Source organism: Homo sapiens, chromosome 1 (assembly GCF_000001405.40).
Source record: "Homo sapiens chromosome 1, GRCh38.p14 Primary Assembly".
Lineage (NCBI taxonomy): Eukaryota > Metazoa > Chordata > Mammalia > Primates > Hominidae > Homo > Homo sapiens.
Genome location: NC_000001.11, coordinates 94,296,741 through 94,319,630, shown reverse-complemented (window position 1 = coordinate 94,319,630; position 22,890 = coordinate 94,296,741). Strand labels below are relative to the sequence as shown.

At 42.0% G+C, this 22,890-nt stretch overlaps 1 protein-coding gene, 1 long non-coding RNA gene and 1 pseudogene across 6 annotated transcripts in view, besides 1 other annotated feature; 1 reads left to right on the top strand and 2 right to left on the bottom strand.

The window, feature by feature from the left end:
- ARHGAP29-AS1 (ARHGAP29 antisense RNA 1) overlaps positions 1 to 22,890 on the bottom strand; it is an 86,939-nt gene that overhangs the window by 15,176 nt on the left and 48,873 nt on the right. The window lies entirely within an intron of this gene.
- Positions 2,164 to 2,458: an enhancer, noted in NCBI's record as "tiled region #2220; HepG2 Activating DNase matched - State 5:Enh". NCBI's record gives its function as "activates a minimal TATA promoter and a strong SV40 promoter by Sharpr-MPRA in HepG2 cells {active_cell/tissue: HepG2}" and the evidence as "EXISTENCE:reporter gene assay evidence [ECO:0000049][PMID:27701403]".
- Positions 5,039 to 22,890, top strand: part of ARHGAP29 (Rho GTPase activating protein 29) — a 145,688-nt gene continuing 127,836 nt past the window's right edge. The window contains exons 1-2 of one of the 2 annotated variants that reach the window (XM_047434754.1): positions 5,039 to 5,141; positions 7,881 to 7,965. The gene's annotated coding sequence lies outside the window, so the exon portion shown is untranslated. The remainder of the gene's footprint in view (positions 5,142 to 7,880; positions 7,966 to 22,890) is intronic. The other variant, XM_047434759.1, reaches the window with a different exon arrangement.
- Positions 16,403 to 17,661, bottom strand: GAPDHP29 (glyceraldehyde 3 phosphate dehydrogenase pseudogene 29; annotated as a pseudogene).

The window sequence follows — 22,890 nt, the reverse complement described above, 5'->3', positions numbered from 1 at the left end:
CAGGCACAGTGCGTATCCCCAGCATCTGTGTGGAAGCCAGGGGTGGGAATGACTTTTTAAAGCGGAGAACCTGAATCTAAAGAAAGCAGCATCCTCAATAGGAGGATATTTTCAGTCCTATGACGTTTTCAGTTCTGTTCTCCTATTGGCTCCAAGAAATCTTAGAGGAATAGAAAACTGTATTATTTGCTCCAAGAGTCAGAATAAAGACAGGAAGCGGTGGTTGCTGGTCACCTTTTCCAGGAGTGGCCCAGAGGATGTTTACAGGAAAGATTCCTTTCTGCCCTTTGACTTGTAGGACTGTCAGACTAGAAATAGGGACTCTAATGCAGAAGTTGAGCAGATTCAGAGAACAGTTGAAACGGGAGTGGAACTCCCCAAGAGACAAAGCACCCTTGCACATCCTTCAAAAAGAAAGAGAAAGAAACTGTGGAGGGGGCGAGGAGAATCTTCCTTAACATAGGATGACATCTCTGTTCCTTTCTCCTCTTTGGCCTTGCCCTTTTCATTTTCCCCTTTCCCAAACTTCCTTCTATCTTACCAAACAAAAATATGAAGTGAGTATTATAGGGACAGGAAAAAACCTGTAAAATAAATGTTTTCCCCAAATCACAGGTTATTTTTAAAGACCAGCCAATCATGCAATTGTTGCTATTACAGTTACATCAGGTGAAATTGTAGTATTTACCAAGACCACACCTAATTTTTTTTCTTTTTTCTAAGACAGGATCTTGGTCCATCACCCAGGCTGGAATACAGTGGTGCAATTATAGTTCACTGCGGCCTCAAATTCCTGCACTCAACAGATCCTCCCACCTCAGCCTCGCAACTGGCTGGGACTACAGGGATGCACCACCACACCTGGCTAATTTTTAACTCTTTCGTAGGAATGAGGTCTTGCTGTGTTGCCCAGGCTGGTCTCGAACTCTGGGGGTCAAGAGATCCTCCCATCTCGGCCTTCCAAAGTGTTGGGATTACAGGCACGCACCACCACACCTGGCTACATGCCTAATTTAACATGAGCTAGAGTTAGGTTTGGCCATCCCTAGTGTTCAGTGGAGTTGTAGAGTTAGTCTCAAATGCCAGAGTGAAAGTCCTTGCCTATCACTCCCTCATGGGGTAACCATGGTGGAGCTGCCCAATTTCCTCATCTCAGAAGTGAATATAATAGCTTCTACCTCATAGGGTTGTTGTGAGAATTGCATGAGGAAACCATGGAAAGGAATTCATAGAGTACTTAGAAAGGCAGTAAGTACAGGGACAGATTTGGGTTTCATGGGACTTGAAGACTACACAACTTCGGAAGCCCTCTTTAATGAAAAGAAGATAAATCTTACTTTTGCAAGTTTTATATGAATATGTGACTATGTGAACACATTGCTCAGGTCCTCCCCTCGCCCGCACACAAGGTCTAGAAAAAGGCTTATTAAAGTGAGACATCCTGAAGCTTAAGCGTCACCAGCTTCAAGTTCAACCCACCTCTGAATAAATGCTTCAAATAAATATTAGTCCTTGCTGTTATTTATTTATTTAAAAAATGTTTATGGAGCACTTACTATGTGCCAGGCTGTGAGCTTGCAGCTAGAAGTTGGGAGTGTTGCACATCTGGAAATTCTATGCCCTAGCTAAGGGAAGGTCACTAAATATCAAAGCAAACCAAACTCCTTATCTAAAGAATGTGGTTTGATTTGACAAAACATCCCAAAGCTAATAAATGGCTGCAAAGCACTTTGCAGACCTCTTTAACAGAAACATTGCACCAATGGAATAGATGAGCTATTTGTAGTTATTATTTTATTTTTCCATTAAAAAAATGTGATAAAATAGATCCAACATAAAATGTACTATCAACCATTTTTAAGTGTACAGTTCAGTGTTATTAAGTACATTTATATTGTTGTGCAACCATCATTACATTCATCTCCAGAACTCTTTCTTTTATTTTTTGAGACTCGCTCTGTCACCTGGGCTGGGAGTGCAGTGGCAACATCATAGCTCACTGCGTCCTCAAACACCAGGGCTCAAACAATCCTCCCACTTTAGCCTCCCTAATAGCAGGGACTACAGGCATGTATCAGCAAGCCTGGCTAATTTTTGTTTTTTTGTTTTTTTGTTTTTTTTGTAGAGATGAGGTCTTGCCATGTTGCCCAGGCTGGTCTTAAACTCCCGGGCTAAAACAACCCGCCCACCTCGGCTTCCCAAAGTGCTGGGATTACAGGCCTGAGTCACCGTGCCTAGCCAGAACTCTCTTTATCTGACAAAGCTGAAATTCTGTTCCTGTTAAACAATAACTTCCATTCCTCCCTCCCTCAAGCTGACAGCAAACCACCATTCTACTTTCTGGCTCTGTGATTTTGACTACTTAGAGTAGACAAATACTCTAAGTATAGTATTTATATCTTAGATCTGTAAGTATCCACTCATAGAGTACCTCATAAAAGTAGAATCATACAGAATTTGTCTTTTGGTGATTGGCTTATTTGACTTAGTATAATGTCCCAGAATTCATTTTTGTTGAAGCAAATGTCAGAATTTCCTTCCTTTTTAAGACTGAATCGCATAGTTCATTGTATGTATATACCACACTTGGCTTATCCATTCATCCATCCATGAACATTTGGGTTGCTTTCACATTCTAGCTATTGTGAGTAATGCTGTTATGAACATGGGTGTTCAGTAGATGTTACTTTTATGTTGCTTTAGAACATCTGTGTCTTTATGATCACTGATTAGAATGTACTTGGACTATCGCTTTCCTCTGCTCACATATAAATTAAATAAAGCAGTCAAATACCGACAAACCAGTCATCAAACTTAAGTTTGGAGAAGTCAAGTGGGTCAGTGGAGCTTTGAACTAAGACTTAGAAGATTTGGGTTCTGGTCCCAGCAATGCAGTCAGTGTTGGCTAACTATGTAATATGGTGGCAAATGATTTCATCTTGCTGGGCCTCAGTTTCTTCACCTGTCCTGTGAGTGATTTGGACTAGGGTTTCCTTTTTAGGATGATCAGCTCAACTTGGCCTCCCAAATCAAAGAAAATCCTGTGTCCTTGGAAACCCCTCAATCCCAAGAAAACCAGGATGATTGGTCACCCTACCTTTCAGCAAATACTCAAAATTTGACACCAGATTTCAAAGAAATGTACTACATTAAATGAAATCAGGCTATTTATCTCTTCCCCACCCCCCAGGAAACATCAAAAGGGAATTCAGCAGCCTAGTCAGACTAGGACAAAATTCCAGATGTGTAATTTTTAACAGGCTTTTTGGGAAACTGCTGATTTTAGATCCTGTTAAGAAGTCATCCCCCACAAATATTCTGGTTAGGGAGGTTTGTATGTTAACGATTAGACAAGAGCTGTTAAAATTTCAGCTGAGCAACTTAAAATATTTCTTACTTTTAATAACTAGTTTGGCTTCTCATGGAACTAACTGTAAAACAGGTAGGATTTTTTTTCCCCCTCAAAGTGCACGCTTCTATGTCACAGAGGGAAAACAACAACAATAAACCAACTAAATAAAACTAAGGTTGACTCTGTCTGATCTGCAACTGAAAGGAAAGGTCAGCCTGGAATATGCTGAAACTCCCCTAGTCTTATACAGGAATGTGCTGATATGCCTGCCTGAAACCCCAAATAAGCCCCCTTTCCTGGAAAGATGATCCAGCCAGATTCCAGCAACCTTCAGCAAACAGGCAGGGCTGGTGTGAATGAAGTCAAGGAAGATTCAGGGGGCTGGGTGCAGTGGCTCATGCCTGTAATCCCAGAGAGCCAGTGTGGGAGGATCAATTGAGCCCAGGATTTCAAGATCAACCTGACAACATAGTGAGGCCTTGTCTCTACAAAAAATTAAAAATTAACTGGATGTGGTGATGTGCACCTGTAGTCCCAGCTACTTGGGAGGCTGAGGTGAGAAGACGGCTTGAGCTCAGGAGGTCAATGCTGCAGTGAGCCATGATTGTACCACTAGACCCCAGCCTGGGCAACAGAGCAAGAACCTGTCAAAAAAAAAAAAAAAAGATTCAGGAACTGTTAATTTCTATATATGAAAAAGTGGCCTGATTTATTTGGACAAAAGAAGCACTTCAGCTTAATTATTTTGGTTGCATATTTGTAGATTATTTGAGGCTATAAGCCTGGGTCTATGGGCAGTTACAGTGCATTACTGATTTGATTGGATCTTGAGAGAGGGCCTAAAAACAATCACAGGCCTACAAGTACGACTTTCTCCTTACAGACACAGACATGAAAAGACAATTGCCTATACCAATTATTATTATGATTATTATTATTATTTGAGACAGGGTCTTGCTCTGTTGCCTAGGTTGGAGTGGAGTGGTGCTATCTCAGTTCACTGCAACCTCCACCTCCTGGGTTCAAGAGATTCTCGTACCTCAGCCTCCTGAGTAGCTGGGATTACAGGTACCTGCCACCACACCAGGCTAATTTTTATATTTTTAGTACAGGCAGAGTTTTGCCATGTTGGCCAGGGTGGTCTTGAACTCCTAACCTCAAGGGATCTGCCGACCTTGGCCTCCCAAAGTGCTGGGATTACAGGTGTAAGCCACCATGCCCAGCCCTATATCAATTATTATCTTCTATAGACAATGGTTTAGTGACCCCTTTTTATGGTCTATCATAATAAAATCTCTATTTATAGATCAGATGATATTTTATAAAACCTATCCACACATGTATCACCCAAACCTCATACATTAAGATAATGCATGTAAGGTGAGATATTATTCTCCTTGTTTTATAAATGCAGAAATAGAAGCCTAGAGAAGTTAAGAGTCTTGACCCCAGACACAAAATGGGTAAGTAGCTCAAGCCTAGGTCTTCTGAATAAAAATCAGGAGACTTCACCAACATGCAAAGCAAAATGTATTGTGCTTTTTAAATATTACTCCTAGCATTTTTGCAATCTTTCTCATGCTATCATCTTAGATAATGATTAACAGGCATTTAGAGAGAGTGTTAAAGTAAAAAAACTGTTTGGCAACACACAGGTTTAAAGGGCTAGCAAGAGAAAGAGGAGCCAGCAAAGGGGTCTGTCTGAGTGGTGGTCAGAGAATGGGTGGAGGACTTGGTCAACTCAGTGCTGCCTCTTAAGCCGAGGGAAAGGAGAGAGAAAACTTCATCTGTAAGTGTTATAAATGAGAAAGACCTGTGGGTTCTTTGTTCAGGGAGCTACTGATGACTTCAGGGAGCACAATCCCCCAGAATCATGGAGTCTTGGGTTCAGTTAACCCCAATACTTATTCATGTCCCTGATGCCCGCCCAGATGGTCACTGCTTGCCTAATGCAATGACTCTGAGAGGCAGCTTTCTGAAGCAGCCTTGTGCTTTTGAACAACTTTGACTCCCTGGAAGTTCATTCTTAAACCAAGTGGCTGCTATGTTTTAAATGATACTGTTGTAAGTGTTAGGGATCAGAGTAGTAAACAAAGTGTTCAAACTTGCTGCCTTCAAAAAGTTACCTTCCAGTGGGGAGATTTATTTTATTTTATTATACTTTAAGTTCTAGGGTACATGTGCACAACGTGCAGGTTTATTACATATGTATACATGTGCCACGTTGGTTTGCTGCACCCATTAACTCGTCATTTACATTAGGTATTTCTCATAATGCTATCCCTCCCCAAGCTCCCCACCCCCCGACAGGCCCTGGGGTGTGATGTTCCCCACCCTGTGTCCAAGTGTTCTCATTGTTCAAGTCCCACCTATGAGTGAGAACACGTAGTGTTTGGTTTTCTGTTCTTGTGGTAGTTTGTTGAGAATGATGGTTTCCAGCTTCATCCATGTCCCTGCAAAGACATGAACTCATCTTTTTTTAAGGCTGCATAATATTCCATGGTATATATGTGCCACAGTTTCTTAATCCAGTCTATCACTGATAGACATTTGGGTTGGTTCCAAGTCTTTGCTATTGTGAATAGTGCCGCAATAAACATATGTGTGCATATGTCTTTATAGCAGCATGATTTATAATTCTTTGGGTATATACCCAGTAATGGGATGGCTGGGTCAAATGGTATTTCTAGTTCTAGATCCTTGTACCACACTGTCTTCCACAATGGTTGAACTAATTTACACTCCCACCAACAGTGTAAAAGCGCTCCTATTTCTCCACATCCTCTCCAGCATCTGTTGTTTCCTGACTTCTTAATGATCGCCATTCTAACTGGCATGAGATGGGGGGAGATACACTTTAAACAATAATAGGGTTAATATCAAATAGGAACAAGTATTTTGAAGAAAAACAAAGCAGGGGTGATTGTGGGGAGAAAGAGGGTCTTGTTTCTTAGTCAGGGAAGTTTTCTCTGAGATGATGCCATTATGGAAGATGCCCTAATGAGAGGAAGAAGCAAGCCATGTGGATGGATAACTAGGGGGAAGAGCATCTCGGGCAGAGAGTACAAAGGCCTTGGGGCAAGGAGCAGCAGGAGGAAGAGAAAAGGAAGGAGATTTTCCAAAGCAACTAGAAGAGTGAAGTTGTCATTTACTGAGATGGGAAAGTCTATAGGTTTAGGGGCAAAGATCAGAAGTTCAAGTTTTGACACATGGGTTTCACACACTCATTAGACATCCAGGAAGATGTGTTGAGAAGGTGATTGAGATCTGTCTGGGGTACAGGGAAGGGGCCCATACTGGAATTTTAATGTTTATGACTTAGCACATAGCTGGTACATAAAGCCACAGACCAAATGAGATATGGCTGAAGAAAGGATGAGGTCTGAGGCTGGAGCCCTAGGCACTCTCCCATTCAGAATTCAGGAAGCTGCAGCACCCAGCAAAGGAGATTGAGAAGGGGTAGTCACTGAGATTGAAGTACCTATAGGGAAGGATGACTCAGAAACTGATGAAGCAGACTTTAAAGAAGAAGACGGGGCCAGGCAGGACCAGGGTGTGGTGGCTCACACCTGTAATCCCAGCACTTTGGGAGGCTGAGGTGGATGGATCACTTAAGGCCAGGAGTTCGAGAGCAGCCTGGCCAACATGGTGAAACCCTGTCTGTACTAAAAATACAAACATTAGCTGGGTGTGGTGGCACACACCTGTAATCCTAGGTACTTGAGAGGCTGAGGCAGGAGAATCACTTAAACCTGGGAGGCAGAGGTTGCAGTGAGCCAAGATCACACCATTGCACTCCAGCCTGAGCAACAGAGTGAGACTCTGTCTTCAAAAAAAAAAAAAAGAAGGAGGGGGGACATCTCTGTTCATTCTTCTTAAGTTTGTTCTGAACCTAAAACCACTCAAAAAAAAAAAAAAAAAAACAAATAAAAATGAAGAAGAAGGAGGAAGGCCGGATCAGATTTGTACAATGCTAATAGGTCAAGTAAAATGAGAACCAAGAGCTGGTCACTGGATTTGGCAATGTGGAGTTCATTGATTATCCTGACAATGGAGTTAGGGGGATGTGGAAGGATGGGGAGGAAAGCCTGACTGGAATATAGTCAAGAGAAAATGAAGGAAGAGTTGGTGAAGACAGCAAATATAACAACTTTTTCAAGGAATTTTGCCACAATGAGAATCAGAAAAATGAAGCAGCAACTGGAAGAGGATATGTAGGAGAAAGGTGTTGTTTGTTTGTTAAGGGTGGGAGATATCACAGTACATTTGTATGTTTATCTGAATAATCCAGTAGAAAGAGAGAAACTGATGCAGAAGAGGGGATGATGGTAAGAGCAAGGTCATTGCATGGCGGAAGAAGAGACACAGGGCCCAGGTGAGGGCTGGCCTTGGAGAAGAACATAGTTACAGAAGGAGCCTTGCATTGTTAATAGGAGGGCAGACAGCATATGAGGATACAGATGTGGACATTTAGTGGACTTAGTGGTACATATGCGGAAGCTGTCTTACTATGCTTTTATTTTTTCAGGAAAATAAGAAGCAAACCCAAGAGTTAAAAGCAAGAGGGCTTGAGAAGAGAGAAGAATCAGTGAAATAATCTCTTGACTGGAAGAGTGAGTTGACTGAGGAAATCAGCTGGAATTGCCAGGCAGCACGAAGGGTTTGAGATCACTTAAAATTTGATGTTATTGTTGGGTCTTTAAGATTAAGCACCAAACTCCAGACCCCATTTTTCTCTTACCCCTCAAACATGGTCTTCTTTAAGACATAATAACATCATTATTTTATTTGATCTGACAAGCATTTGTGTTGCACCTATCCAAGCCTCTGGTGCAGAGGTGCAGTCGAGGGCACGTTCTCTCCAGGGACAGACTGGTTGGTGGGTAGAGACAAGAGAGAAAGAGAGAGAGAGGGAGAGAAGAAAAGGTTGATTCCATTGGGAGTTTTGCCTTCATCCTCCATGAACAGAGGGAAATCAATGCTCATCGAAGGCAGCAAGCTCCCTTTAGAAGGAAAGACATTAATAGCTGGGAAATGTGGCTTAGATTTGACCTTTCACTTACTGAATACCAGAATTAGACAGGCTTACCCATCCAGACCCAAGCTTCAGTGAACCCTCCCAGACCTCTCCAAGAGAGGCTTCTCTGAAACTAACAGCATGGAGGAAATAGGTCAGGAAATGAGTGGCTCCTTGTAGGCGCTTGTTGCCAAGAGGAGAGAGGCAAGGAAGGTGTCCCCATCTGGTGCAGGCTCAGTTCTCCTTCCAAAGCCACTAATCAGGTATGTTATTCCATCTGGCAGGAGTGCAGTAGAGAAGGGCAAGTGGGAGAGTAGAAGGAAGCCAGGAGTGTGACACTAGTTCATGTCCCCACATGGAAGAAAACAGCAGGCATGGGGAAGAAAGATTCCCTTTCATGAATTGAAAGTGAGGTCTTGGACCCTAGATGGCTGCCCTGTCCCATGCCTGGGCCTTTGACTCCCCCTCTCCTGCCCCCCTTTATCACTGAAGCAAGCACCAAATAGGTGAGAGAGTGAGAAATTTGAGGGTATAAACACAACATTGATTACCATGTTGGCCTTTGAAATCTGAGCTAACCAACGAAGAAAGTGAGATAGCAAAAAGGAAGTAGGATTAATCAATTGGAGGCTCAACTGAGGTCAAAGAGCGGTTGACTCAGAGGTTTTAAAAGGATTGTGCTGGAAAGATCACAGCCTTTCACATATTTGAAAATTACTATGATGGTCCTCTTGAGTCTTTTTGCTTGGATTAAACATACTCAGTTCCTTTAGTGGTCCTCATAGGGAAATGTTTCCAGTATATTTGTAAAGAGCATGTTTGCTTTCTACTGAGCACGCTCCGGCATGTGCCTTTGAAAGGGTGGCACCTGGACACTACTACATGGCTTCATCCAGCTGGGGGTAGGCATGGAGTGCCCATCTTCCCGGGCCGTAGAAGCCCTTCTTCACCTGGGACAGGAAGCTGAGGATCTCCTTCCTCTTCACTGTTTCCCCACCCTACGAACTCAGCTTGAGCTCTTTGTCTACTACAACCCCTGTATCTGTTTTGCCCAGGTATTGCTGCCAGGTGAGGACTCCACCACCCCATACTCGGGCAGTTGTGGCAGTTTTCTGGGGACCTCATGTGTACCGATATTAAATAGCAAGGATTCGAGGACTGATTTATCTGTGGGTCATTTGAACTCTTACTAAAATTCTTAATGACATTTTTGTTCATTTCTTAATCATTTAGTGTTAGTCTCAGAAGTTTTTGGTGGTAAAGGGAATGTATGTTTACTCATATTTATTTATTCAGCAACCACAAATGTTTACTGAGAGCCTTCTAAAATATCAGTACTGGGCTACAGACATGGCCCCTGTGTTCATGAAGTGTGCAGCATAGGACCCAAAGAACATCCCTTTGTTTTGTATTTTTGAATAAGGGAGATCGCCATTTACCTAGAGACCTGAACTTATCTATAGGAGTTTCTTCTTCTGCCCTCTGGTTGTAACAGAGGAATTGACTCTCATGTCTTCGAAAGACAGGCTCTTTATTTCTACCTTGGGACCTATCGCCTCTCATTCACTCTTTCTCTCCTGCATCATCCATCCCTCCCTCTAGTCTGGGTGATTCTCTTTAGCATATACATCTGCTCATATTTCTCACCTTCAAAACCCCCTTTCCTTGTCCCACATTCTCCTCTCCAGCTACTGATCTATTCCTTTGTACTTGTTCACAATAAAAAAATCATCTGTGCATAATGTGTCTGTGGCTAGAAAAAGCGGGGACATGTTTGGAACGGCTGTGAGTGTTACAGCAGAGGGCTGATAAGCGAGGAAGAGCACTTTCCAGAGTGCAAGGCACTGACATCAAAGCACTCTGCAAATATTTTGATAGGAGGCAGCTGTGTTATAGCAAAGAGGGCCCTGACCTCCCCTCTCAGAGGACCTCTGCTGAGTCCTGGTTCCACCATCCTCTCGCTGTTGTGATCCTGATCAAGTTATTTAACTTCTTTTGAGCCTCAGTTTCCTCATCTATCAAATGGAAATAGTTGTGGCTCTCTCATAAGTTTGTTGTGACTATGAAATAGGGATGCTTGAAAGTATGAAACAAATGTTAGAAAGTATTGTACAGCAATAATCTCCTTTAAAAGAAAATGGCTAGCCCCAGTCTGCCTGGGCGCCCCCGCAACAAGAGCCTGAGCCAATGGCTCCCCTGTTGTACACTTGGGAATGTGATCCCAGGGAGCAGGACAGAGGAGGAGAAGGAGGGGAAGGAGGCAGTCCAGTGCAAATTCGGGTCACTAAGTTGCTCAGGGCTGCAGGCAGCCTTGACCCACACAACCTCCTGAGGAAACTTATGAAATGTGTCTCAGAACTGTCCACCCTGGGAACTGAAAGGGGCAGCATTTACCCAAAGGTTCCCATTCCCATCTATCAGGGGTGGTCCACGAGCACTGACTCCCCTCTCTTCAGGGTTACATACACATAAATGCCAAGTGGACACCACAGAGCCTCAGGGGAGGAAGTGAAAGGTAGAAGGTGTAGGAGGAGACAAGGCCATGTCAGGTTGTACCTTTGAAACTGGCTCAAAATGGGATCCTGGCGCAGTGGCTGGACTAAGAGGTGAGATCAGGAGGATTTGAAATGGTGCACAAGATGCAACCCCATCCAACAGAAACAAAAACCAAAAAAATGATGACGTGACTTGGCTTGGGTATTTTTAGCAGGGATTATGTGCCATCTCTGTAGAAAAAGAGGGTAGGCCTTACACATTAGTTTTTAACCTATTTTTCTAGACACTATGTGTTTCTGTAGAATTAAGGAATGGAATCTCAAATGCCCCACCTGGCTTTTTGCAACAAATTGTAATCAGAGACTGCATGACCTAACTGGAAGAGACCCAGACCAAGATCTTGGGGAAATTGCTCAATGTCTCTGAAGCAGCGGATGGGGAAGGGGGGTAAATTGAGAACCTTACTACTACCATCTTTCCTGCCTACTTTCTAGTGTTTTGGGGGCTTTTGTGTGGAAGGGGAGAGGAGGTTCATAAAATAAACTATGAAAAACTTTTTTATAAATGAGGAAGGATTATTATCATTTGGGTATTATTAAGTATTGATGATTAAAGTCTATTTCTCCCCAGGATTGTAGCACAATCAAAGTAATTTGAGTTCAGTCAAGTGAAATCAATAAGCCTAGAGCACATACTTTGTGCCAGGCCCCGTGCAATCCATTAAAGATAAAAAGATGCATTAAGAGGAGGGACAGAGAGTAATGTTAATCCTTGGGTACTAGGCAAGACTGCTATTACAGGAAGAAAAAGAAGGAGCATCAGTGCTTTGCTAGGCAGAACTGTACAGAAACAAAGTTTTGCTTTTTCTTGGGTTAAGTCTTGCTTTATAAGGCCTTTCCCATTAAGAAAATTATAACTACCCTCTTATATGTCCATTTAGTACTTTTGAAATTTTGTTTTCTATTTAATGTATAGCTTTTAAAATCTATTTAACTTTTTAAAATTGATGAGTAGTAGACATATAACTTTATTTTTTTCAAATGGATAGCCAACTTTTCAACACCATTTGTTAAATATCCTATCCTTTCTCATCATTTTGAAATGCTACCTTTATCTTATTTTACCCTTACATGTGGTCTCTGGTCTGTGCCATTGATGTATTGTCTATTCCAGCAGGAATTTAACATTATTTAATTATGGTAGCTCTATAATTTGTTTGATAACTGGTAGGTCAACATTACTCCCATTTTTCTTGTTTTTCTCATTTTATTGATTATTCCTATGTATTTACTTTTCTGGACAGTGTTTATAATTGCTTTATATTCCATTATAAAATCCCATTGGAGTTTTGGTCATGATTTGCCCACATTTTCTAGAGGAAATATTATTCAAAGTTACATATTTAGAATAGGAAGTGATAAGATGTTTGAAGAAAATGACAATATGAAACAGTTGTGGAGAGTGGAAGAGCTAGTCCATCAGATTGTCCTGTAGATGGGGAGGCAACCAAGTATTTATAGTGGCATCAATCTGCAGTTTAGGTGATTTTCATCAATGTTCAGCCACTCAGGAGCAGGCGTAAAGAATGATTTGGTTGGTCTTACACTGGGATCGGGTTTGGCAAGACAAGCATAGCAGAAGGAGAAAGGGGAAAAAAAATGAAGGTACTTTTATTTCTTTGTCTTCCTTTCAGTAAAGACAGAATAGAAATAATTGTGTTTTTCTTTCACCAAATAATAATATATACGAATAAATGAAGAGAGGTGTAACTTTTTTGTTTTGTTGTTGTTTTAAACATCTTTATATAATGGAAGTGTTAACTTGTGGACAAGAAAGCCACTGAATTACAACTGAACTTCATATTGTATAAATAATTTATCTTGTGTGTATATATATTTTTTACCATGTTACACTTGAGATACTTTCTTTTGACAGGAGAGCACTTTTGGTGTAAACCCCTATTTTTTGAGTGTGGATATTTTCCCCTAACGTTTTCTTTCTTTGGAACTAAGCATTCTCAAATGTGTTCCCAGGGGAATCTGGAAATGTTGGTGCATATCCATTTGGCAGTTTGGAGATTTGTTAGAGTGTGGGAAAATTCAGAGGTTATTTTCAGGTTATGACATCTGAATATTTCTTTGCAGGTCCAAAGCACAGTTTATTTTTAATACTGTAAAGATACCATAGTCTTGATCCTCATTTTGAGAAGAAAATGCTGCCATCTTTAAAGAAATATAGCTTCACATAAAATCCTGAGTTACAAAAGTGAAGACCTAAAATTCAGATGAAATATAACAGTCTGCTAATGTTTCAAATTGCCTGCTGGTTTATTATGTTTTCCCTTACTTAGGCAAGTAAAGTTAAGAACTATTGAAGTTCACGGCCATGAGGGCACATCCATGGATATCATAAAGCAGCCCTTTTACATTTTCTCTCTCTGCGAATCCAGCCTTCAGCAGGATGATTAACAGCTTCAACCTGGGGAAAGAACGCAGTCTTTCCTCTGGGGCTTCCCAGACCCAAGACCCTGCCCATCCCCATCACAGCTCTCTAAGCCTGACTGCCTGTGAGGTGGGGAAAGACTCAAAGAAACTGTGCCAATCCCAATGATACCCAGGGCCCGACTACTGCAGGGAAGCAGAAATGATGCCTTGTAAATTGGTTATAAAATGGCCTTGTCCAAAGGTATGTGACTGCTGTTTTCATAGTTCCCATCAGCCTCAGAACGTTCTCCATATTTCTTTCAGCTATGGGAAGCTGGTCTCATGCAATTCTAAATGAGTTGTTGTTCCAGTGTAGACTCTCACTGAACCAGAATGTGGTCAGGCAGGGTGATTGCCTTTTTCAAGAGCTGCCAGCAACCTCACATTCAACTGCTCTGCTCATGTATCATATGTATGATTAACCACAACTTATTCCTTGAACTTTGAGGTAAGACAGTGAAAATAAACTTGAACCATCAATGTATTCTTAGCACATACCACCAATTAGAATATTCACATTTCAGATTCTGATTCCTTTTGACACCTCTATTCCCACTCTCTCCATTCAATCATAAATCCAGTCAATTTTACCTCAAAATATATCTCTTATATTCATCCCCCCTGCCATCTATTGGCACTGCCGAGTTCTTGATTCAAGTCTTCCTCACCTCTCATCAGGTCCATTACAAAAGCCTAATAAATAGTCTTGTTCATCCTTCAAAAATGTACAGCTGCTTATAATACCTCTCTGCCTAATAGTTATCTATGGCTCATCTGCCCAAATGGTCTGAATTCCTTCAAGTTCTGGTCCTTACCTGTGTTTCCTGACCCATCTTCTGTCATTCTCTCATTGGTGCTTTGCGTTCCTACCACATAGAACTGCCTTTACTTCCAGTGCTGTTCTCTCTGCCCAGAGGTGATATTCAACATATTTAAAGAACAGAAACTGACCAGTCAGAACAAACCCCATGACCACTCAGGATTGGCACACAAGAGCATCCTGGTGAATATTGGCTGATGCTGCCATTTCCAGCACCGTGGCTTTGATTCTTTCCCTGGCATGACTGCAGATCCCTTACATGGTCCACAGAGGACCTTTGAGCAGGGGCTGGAGGTGAGGGACAGCATTATTTAGAAAGGTTTAGGGGCTTATACATGATTAACATTTTCAGTACCAATGTAGAGACTGATGTATTTGCATAGTGGGCACTATTTGCAGAACCTAAAATGACCTCTTTTGTTTTTTGAGATATTCTCAAAATAACCACTGCCTCATCTCTGGTTGCTCTGTAAACACTTTTGCCTGCTTCTGTTTCTCAGAATGTAATCAGCAAGAGACATCTACCTCTCACACAGGCTCACCAGCAGATTTGCTTTTTTAACCAGGCTCAATCTTTTCATTTCCATGCTGACTAGGAATCATTATGTCCTGAACTGACCTAAAAGTACAAGGAGAAATTCCAGTATCTTTTCTAATAAAAAGTGAATAATACATGCTTTTCTTAAATCCAAATCATGACTGTTTGAACTAGTCATCATTAATCATATTTCCTGCATCAGCATCCTTAAGAAATTGTTATCAAGTTGCTACTCAATGCAAAACACTAACCTGGCATTGAGGGAAATTTAAAGCAGCAATAGATACAATACCTGCTCTCCACTGCTGTGAAGCTAAGACATGAACAGCGAAGTAATAACTCTGATTTAAGCAGTACATTATGTGTTGCTATCAAATAATAAACACTGTAGTAGTGAAGAGGAGGAAATGACCTGTCTCTCTTCCAGTTAGGTGAGGCTTTCTGGAGGAGCTGAGTCTTGAGTTGAGCATCAAAAGATGGGTAGAGGCCAGGTGTGGTGGCTCGCGCCTGTTATCCCAGCATTTTGGGAGGCCAAGGCAGGAGGATTTCTTGAGCCCAGGAGTTCAAGACCAGCCTGGGCCACATAGTGCGATTCCATTTATACAAACCAATAAAAAATTAGCAGGACGTGGTAATACACACCTGTAGTCCCAGATACTCAGGAGGCTGAGGCCAGAGGATAGCTTTAGCCTGGGAAGTGGAGGCTGCAGTGAGCTGTGCTGGCGCCACTGCACTCCATCCAGCCTAGGAGACAGAGTGAGACCTTCTTCCCCCATCCCCCAAAAAAGGTGGGTAGAGTTTCAACAGTGTTCCAGCAGAATAACTAGCATATGCTACGAGCATAGAAAACACAAAACAAGGTAAAGCAGAGCCTTGACATCAAAATGAGGCTAGAAAAGTAACTGGGGTCAGACTGCAAAAAGAATTGTATCAGGAAAGGGCATTTGTGTTTTAGACCACAGGTAGATCCCTTAAGTTTTGTTAGGCAGAAGCTTAACATAATCAAAGCAATATTTAAAAATATTAGGCAGCGGTAGCTGGCAAGAAGAGTGCTGGGAAGTAACATGGCATAATAGAAAATAGCAGGGCCTTAGTACTTAAGCAGTGGGTTTGAGTCTGGTCTCACCACTTTCTAGCTGGGTGGGCTTGGACCACTTACTTAACCCCCAAATCTCCACTTACTCAACTATAAACATGAAGATAATAATATCTGTAGGGCTGTTATGAGAATAATATTTCATATTTATGAGCACTTACTATGTATTCACTCACACTGCACTAAATACTTTACATCTGTGGTCTCATTTAACCCTTATGTCACTTCCTTAAAAATTGTGGTAAAATATACATAACATAAAATTTACCATTTTAACCATTTTTAAGTGTATAGTTCAGGGGGTTTTAAGTATATTCACACTGTTGTGCAACCATCACCACCGTCCATCTCCAGAACACTTTCATCTTGCAAATCTGGAACTCGGTACCCATTAAACACTAACTGCCCATTCACCCCACTCCCCAGCCCCTAGCACCACCATTTCACTTTCTGTCTCTATGAAGTTCACTTCTCTGGGCATTTCACATAAGTTGCATTATGCAGTATTTGTCCTTTTGTGACTAGCATATTTCACTTAGCATAATGTCCTCAAGGCTCATCCATGTTATATCATATGTCAGAATTTCCTTCCTTTTTTTTTGGCTGGGTACACGGGAATTTATTAATGTTATCTGACAAGGTCAGGCTCCCTAGGTCCTTCCCTTTTCAGGGTGTCTGATGTAGAAACAATGAGGAAGGTTGATTCTCAGTGTGGTGGAGGACTGTGTGGCAGGGACTTCCCAGCAACTAAAGGCTTCTCTCTTCCTCTCATGCTGTTGTTGGGGCTGGTGGTCTGGGGGCTCTTACTTCTTGGAAGCCATGTGGATCATAAAGGTTATCACTTTGTTGCTGTAGCCAAATTCATTGTCATACCCGGAAACGAGCCTGACAAAGAGGCCGTTGAGGGCAATGCCAGCCCCAGTGTTGAAGGTGGAAGAGTGGGTGTCACTGTTAAAGTTGGAGGAGACAGCCTGGTGCTCAGTGTGGCCCACGATGCCCCCGATGGCCCCCTCCGATGCCGCTTCACCACCTCCTTGATGTCATCATATTTGGCTGGTTTCTCCAGAGAGCAGGTCAGGTCCATGACTGACACATTGGCAGTGGGTACATGGAAGGCCACACCACTGAGCTTCCTGTTCGGCTTGGGGATGACCTTGCCCACAGCCTTGGCAGCACCAGTAGACACATGCAGGGATGATGTAATGGAGAGCCCCATGGCCATCACACCACAGTTTCCCAGAGGGGCCATGAGAGTCTTCTGGGTAGCAGTGATGGCATGGACTGTGATGCTGAGTCGCTTCATGATGCCAGAGTTATTATGGATGACCTTGGCCAGGAGGTTAGGCAGCTGGTGGTGCAGGAGGCATTGCTGATGATCTTGAGGTTTTTATACTTCTTATGGCTCATGCCCATCACGAACGTGGGGGCATCAGCAGAGGGGGCAGAGGTAATGACCCTTTTGGCTCCACCCTCTAAGTGAGCCCCAGCCTTCTCCATGGTAGTGAAGATGCCAGTGGACTCCATAACATAATCAGCACCAGCGTCACCCTGTGTGATTTTGGTGGGATCTCCCTCCTGGAAGATGGTGATGGGATTTCCATTTTCAGCCTTGATGGTGCAGTGGAACTTGCTGTGGGTGGAATCATACTGGAACCATGTGATTCCATGGTAGACCATGTAGTTGAGGTCATTGATGGTGATGATATCCACTTTGCCAGAGTTAAAAGCAGCCGTGGTGACCAGGTGCCCAGTATGGCCAAATCCATTTACTCTGGCCTTCACTTTCATCATGGTGTTTCAGGGACATAGCTGGTGCCTCACTAAAGACTGGGCCATCTGTTGATGGGAGGAGCTGAGAGGCTGAATTTCCTTCCTCTTTAAGGCTGAGTAATATTCTACTGAATATTTTACATCACTGTTTTATCATGAGAAAACTGGACTTAGAGGGGTTAACTTATCCAAAATTAGAGAGAGAGAGTAAGAGAAAGAGCTAGGATTTGGGCCAAAGCAATCTGATTCCACAGTGCAGCCTCATTTCCCTTGTATATCCTGATGCATGTAGGTTAAGGGCCTAGCACTGCACCTGGATCAGGATGGCTGTTGCAGAAAGGCATTCTATTGTTTTTGATTATCCAGCACCTCTTCCACAGCTTATCTGGGTAACACAACTCCTCTTTTCCTTGAGGAGCTCTGTCTATGACTGTACCCTCATCCCCCCTGGCCACCATACAAGGGGCAGAAAGCTGAACATATTGCCCAGGTCAAGAAATCAGAGCCTTCCTTCCCTCCCCATTGCAGTGACAGATTCAGGAACGGTCACATGGGTGCAATCAGAGTCCTTCCTGGTGCTATGAGGAGATTGTGAGTCAGGAGTTGTAGGTGTTCATTTTAAAAACTTAGCAGGGAGATGGCAAGAAAGGTGGAGTCCTGAGCAATATCTGAGCCGCTGGATCTAGACACGTCTGAAGCCAGTTGTCCCTATCAACTTCCCTACAACGTGATTCCCCGTTTTTGCTTTTAAGCTAATTGGAATTGCATGTCTGGAACTTGCAAGAGAAAGAAACTGACTAATTCACTAGATCAAAAGGCCCTCATGGGAATGAAAAGGAAAAAACTAACAAGAGGTATTGTGAAGCTGTGTGATGTGAAAAAGAGGAAAACATCGAGAGTCTTTCTGTGGTTCAGATACCTGGTAACCAAGAATACTGCTATTACTGAGAAGGTGGAAGAAGTTGCTACTTTGGGTAGAGTTAAACGAGAAAGTTTCTGGTACTCCCAGGAGTCCAGACTACTAGTTAGCTTCCAAAGGTAAAATGCCCAATGTCACTTATGTCTGCTAAGCACTTCATCCTCTTCAGAATCTCAAACTCGTTAGTGTGTCCAAGGTCTGATTGGGATAGGGCTTTTGGACTCTGATCTTTATCCCCAACCCTGCTCAGTAACCTGGTATGAATTCTCCTTCCAAATATAATTTATTCATTAATCTGCTCATTCATTAATTGAACACAGGCTTGCTGAGTGCTTATGTGTATAGAGGACCTATATGCCAGGTATTAAGCCTATATGCCATAGTACCTATATGCCAGGTATTATGCCAGGTGCTAAGAACACAGTGATGAGAAAATAAATATGGTCCCCTATCTTCAAGAAGTTTGTAATCTAGTGGAGAAATCAGACATAGGATGGATTATCACCCACATGAATATAATTAAAAATTGTATTACATTCTATGAAGATAATAGAGATTAGTAAGAGGTATATGGGGGGATCTAATTCAGGCGGAGGAGAGTAGGATGATTAAGGGATAGCTTCTCTGGGAAAATAACATTCAAGCTAAGGTCAGGTCAGATGAGGTCAGCACTAAAATGAAAAAGAAAGGTGGAAACCAGAGGTGTTATTCTCACCCAACCATAAGAAACAAGTGATTCACCCACCAGGAATGTGAGACGGAGAGGCTTGAAACTGGTTTCTTTAAAGTGGAGCTACTTAGGGCTCTTAGAGCAGGGACTGGCAAATCAATTAAGTATTGTAGGAACCTCACTGCCTGTTGCCCAGTCACCTCTCTGTGACTCTGCTCATGTATTCATCCATTCACTCATGCATTCAAGAAATAGTTAAGGAATATCCACAAGTGAAGGGCATTGTACTAAATGATGAGGCTTCAGGAGAAGCAAGACAGCCTCCAGCCCAGCTCTCAGCAAGAAGGAAGAAGTACAGGTGGGCCCGCCTTCAGACAGCTCCAAGAGATGCCTAAGCCTTTCCCTTAGGGAATCTGCTGCACACTGGCATATGTGCATGTTTCATAAGACTTCTATCTCTGGGCCCCAATGCCTAACAGACTGGTACACTTTTTTTCTTTCATAATTCACAGAGTTAAATCTAGTTCTCCCAGTAGAGGCAAAGGTCCTCTCTACACATAAAGCTAAGAAAGAGATCACATGTGACAACATGGCAGGCTGACACCAAACACAGCGTGGCTGCCCAGTCCCTCCAGATAAACATAAGGAAAGGTCATCCAAACACAGGAAGACAGCCGCCCCCTTCCCTTTTCCTTTACCCCCTCCCCTTCCTCCCTCTGGCTCCCTTATCCCCAGAGGGTGGACCCAGCCTTTCCCAAAGTTTATTCTAAGAGCTCCAGGCTCCCACAGTGGAACGTGCTGTGGACATGGGAATACAACAGCCTAGCCAACAGGGAGAACCAAAAATATAAACTGAGATATTTAATAGATTTCTGTTCCCCCCCACCACCGAAAAAATTGTGGCAGAAATGTCTGGTACTACTGTTTTTACTGTCCTTGATATGTCAGCCCTTCCTAGAAGGTGGTCTTCTAAAGTTTATCGCATTTGTCAGCAAACACTTTGCAGAGAAAAGTTAAGCTCTTTCTTAGGATTTCTGTGCCACTCACATAATCCACTAAACAAATGCAATAAATTTTAGGGAACAAATTCCAAAAAGCCTTGTATTTCAAATGCCAGCGATGAGTTTAACAAGAGTACAAGTAACACTAAAACTGAAGGAAAAAAATTAGAAGGCTGAATTTCCTCTAAATTCAAGATTGGAATTTTGTAAATAATCAGGAATCCCAGAGTCCATAAATAGAAAGTCATTTTATCTTTTACTGACATACTGATCAAAACAGTGGTGAGAACATAAGCTTTGGATTTTACTTGCCACTTAGGAGAAAACAACATTAATACTGCAGGATTATGTACCTCGATGATTATAAACCAGCATTTGTGATGAAATGTGCAGTACTAATTTCAAAACAGACCCAGTGTTTGAAAGCAAAGCATAATGGTGACCTTTCTCATTAGCTGTTGCTCAAACAAAGATATGTTCCAGCAATATCCGATGCTTCCTTCCTGCCAGGGCCTCCACCCAATGCAATTTAAAACACTTGTGTTCTATCCAAACTAGAGCTGAGAATGTGGTGTTGTAGCTGAGCTTCAGTAGCATTGTGTTTATAGTTTATTATTACTTTCTAAGTTTTTTAATGTTTTGTTTTCATAAATTTATTGTCATGAGTTGGGTTTGCAAGATTAAGCATGTGAAACCATGTAAATGAACTCGTTATATATATATTTACTCTTCTACTTTTCCATCTTTCTATTTTTGTGACAAATAGCATTATAGGTCCTTAACCATAAGAACAGAAATGTATCTCATTTCTCTTTGGTGTTTTAATGAATATATTGCAGGCAAAAACAAAACCAAAAACAACTTTTAAGGATCACACCTATCTTGTTTTGTGTAAAATGCTATAAACCCAAACCTAAGGAAAGAATCTGAGAAACCAAAAGAGAGAAATTGAGAGACCACTTGAATACAGGTAATCCTCACGTCTCTAATGTCTAATGCTCTTGCAATCGTTAAAAGTTGAAAATAGTCAAAGCCAAGGCAATTTCCCATGGAACAATAAATAATGAAGAATTTAGATGCTGAACAAAGACCCAATGCTCAATCTCTATAGAAAGACCGTAAACACTTAGTACAGCTATAAATTATGTAGACCATTTATATTTTCTATAATGGGTACAATATTGTAATAGAAAAAAATTAAATGCACGTTACTTAAAATAATTTTGCCTCTTTATACTTCTGCAGTATAAAACTTTCTAAAGTATACGTACATAAGTTAGAAAGAGCTACATACTAATCAATCCCATGAAAGTGTATTCAGGATGGTACACTGTCACAATCTACAAGAACGACAAGTATTTAGAGTATCAATATTTGCCGCTGAATATTATTTCATTTAACTCTAAAAATAAGCAAGCAAAATTCTTTTTATCATTACCATTTTGAAAATGGCATCTCAGAGAAAATCGATAGCTTTCTCAGAAGGAGCTTTATTGGCTCATGGAACTGCAGTTTGGAGGTAGTGCTGCCCCAGCTGGCTGGTTTTAGAGGTTCACTATGTTATTTGGGCTCCAAGTTCAGCACCTCTAATGTTCTCTCAGCTCTGCCCTTTTCTGTGTGGTCATCACATCCTTAGGCCAGCTCCCCTCATTGCTGCAGCCGTTCCAGGCCTCCTATGCTCATACCACACACAACTCAGAGGAAGAGGGAGTCCCAGCATTCCCAACAAGAACCCCCAAGTTCCTGATGAAACACTCTATGTCATGTGCCCAGCTCTGACCAGTCAGTTATTGAGACAAAGGAGATGGGTGACTGACGAGCGTAACTCCCTCTGGAACTATCTGCCCTTCTTTAGCAATGTTGCTAAGAATGGAAGATCCCCTTTGTCCCCAAAGAAAATCTGGGCACTACTAAGAAAAAAGAAAGGGGAATGGGTAGTAGAACAGCAATAAGTGACTGCCTACTTCAGGACTTCATAGGAGTTATGAGAATCAGATAACATTATGGATAGAAAGCAGTTTGCATAGTGCCCAGCTCACATAAGTGCTCAAGAAGTGTTAGCTGTTGTCCTTGGAAGCATCACTAGAATGCTGCTTTTTAACGCTCATTAGCCATTACATAAAATATTAAGAATTGAATAATATGTGTGACAAAAAGTACTGAGACTTTTAAAGAACTAATTGGAACATGTACATACCACGAGTATTGTCATATAAAGCAGTCTTTCTGAGAAAACAAATGAGCTGTCACATGCTGCTGCCAGGCTCAACATGTTGTTTCAGCTCTGTGATGGGTATCTGCAGCTACTGTCTTCTCTACACCCCTATTTTGCTTGGGAAAACTTCCTCTCACTCACCCCTTTGACACTGGAAAGACTGTCAGTTACAAGACTTCCCTCTCCACTGCATCCTCTTCCTCCAGGGATGGTCACACAAATCAGACCTGGCCGAAACTTTCACCATTCTCATCCTCCCTGCACTATGTCTCAATAGATGTCTTCACAGACAAAATGAAATCCATAAAAAGCTGTCTGCAAATATAACCCATTTTCTACTACTTCTCTCTTCTCAGAATAACAAAGTTATGGTTCCTATTTAAGTTCCATTCAACTATTTGAGACTTGAATCTCAATCTCTTCCAATTTGTCAGAAATATGCATTATCAGTTTGCCCTGCTCTAGCTTGTGTCTCTAATCTCACTAGGCTGGATGGCTCTCTGTTTGCCTCTC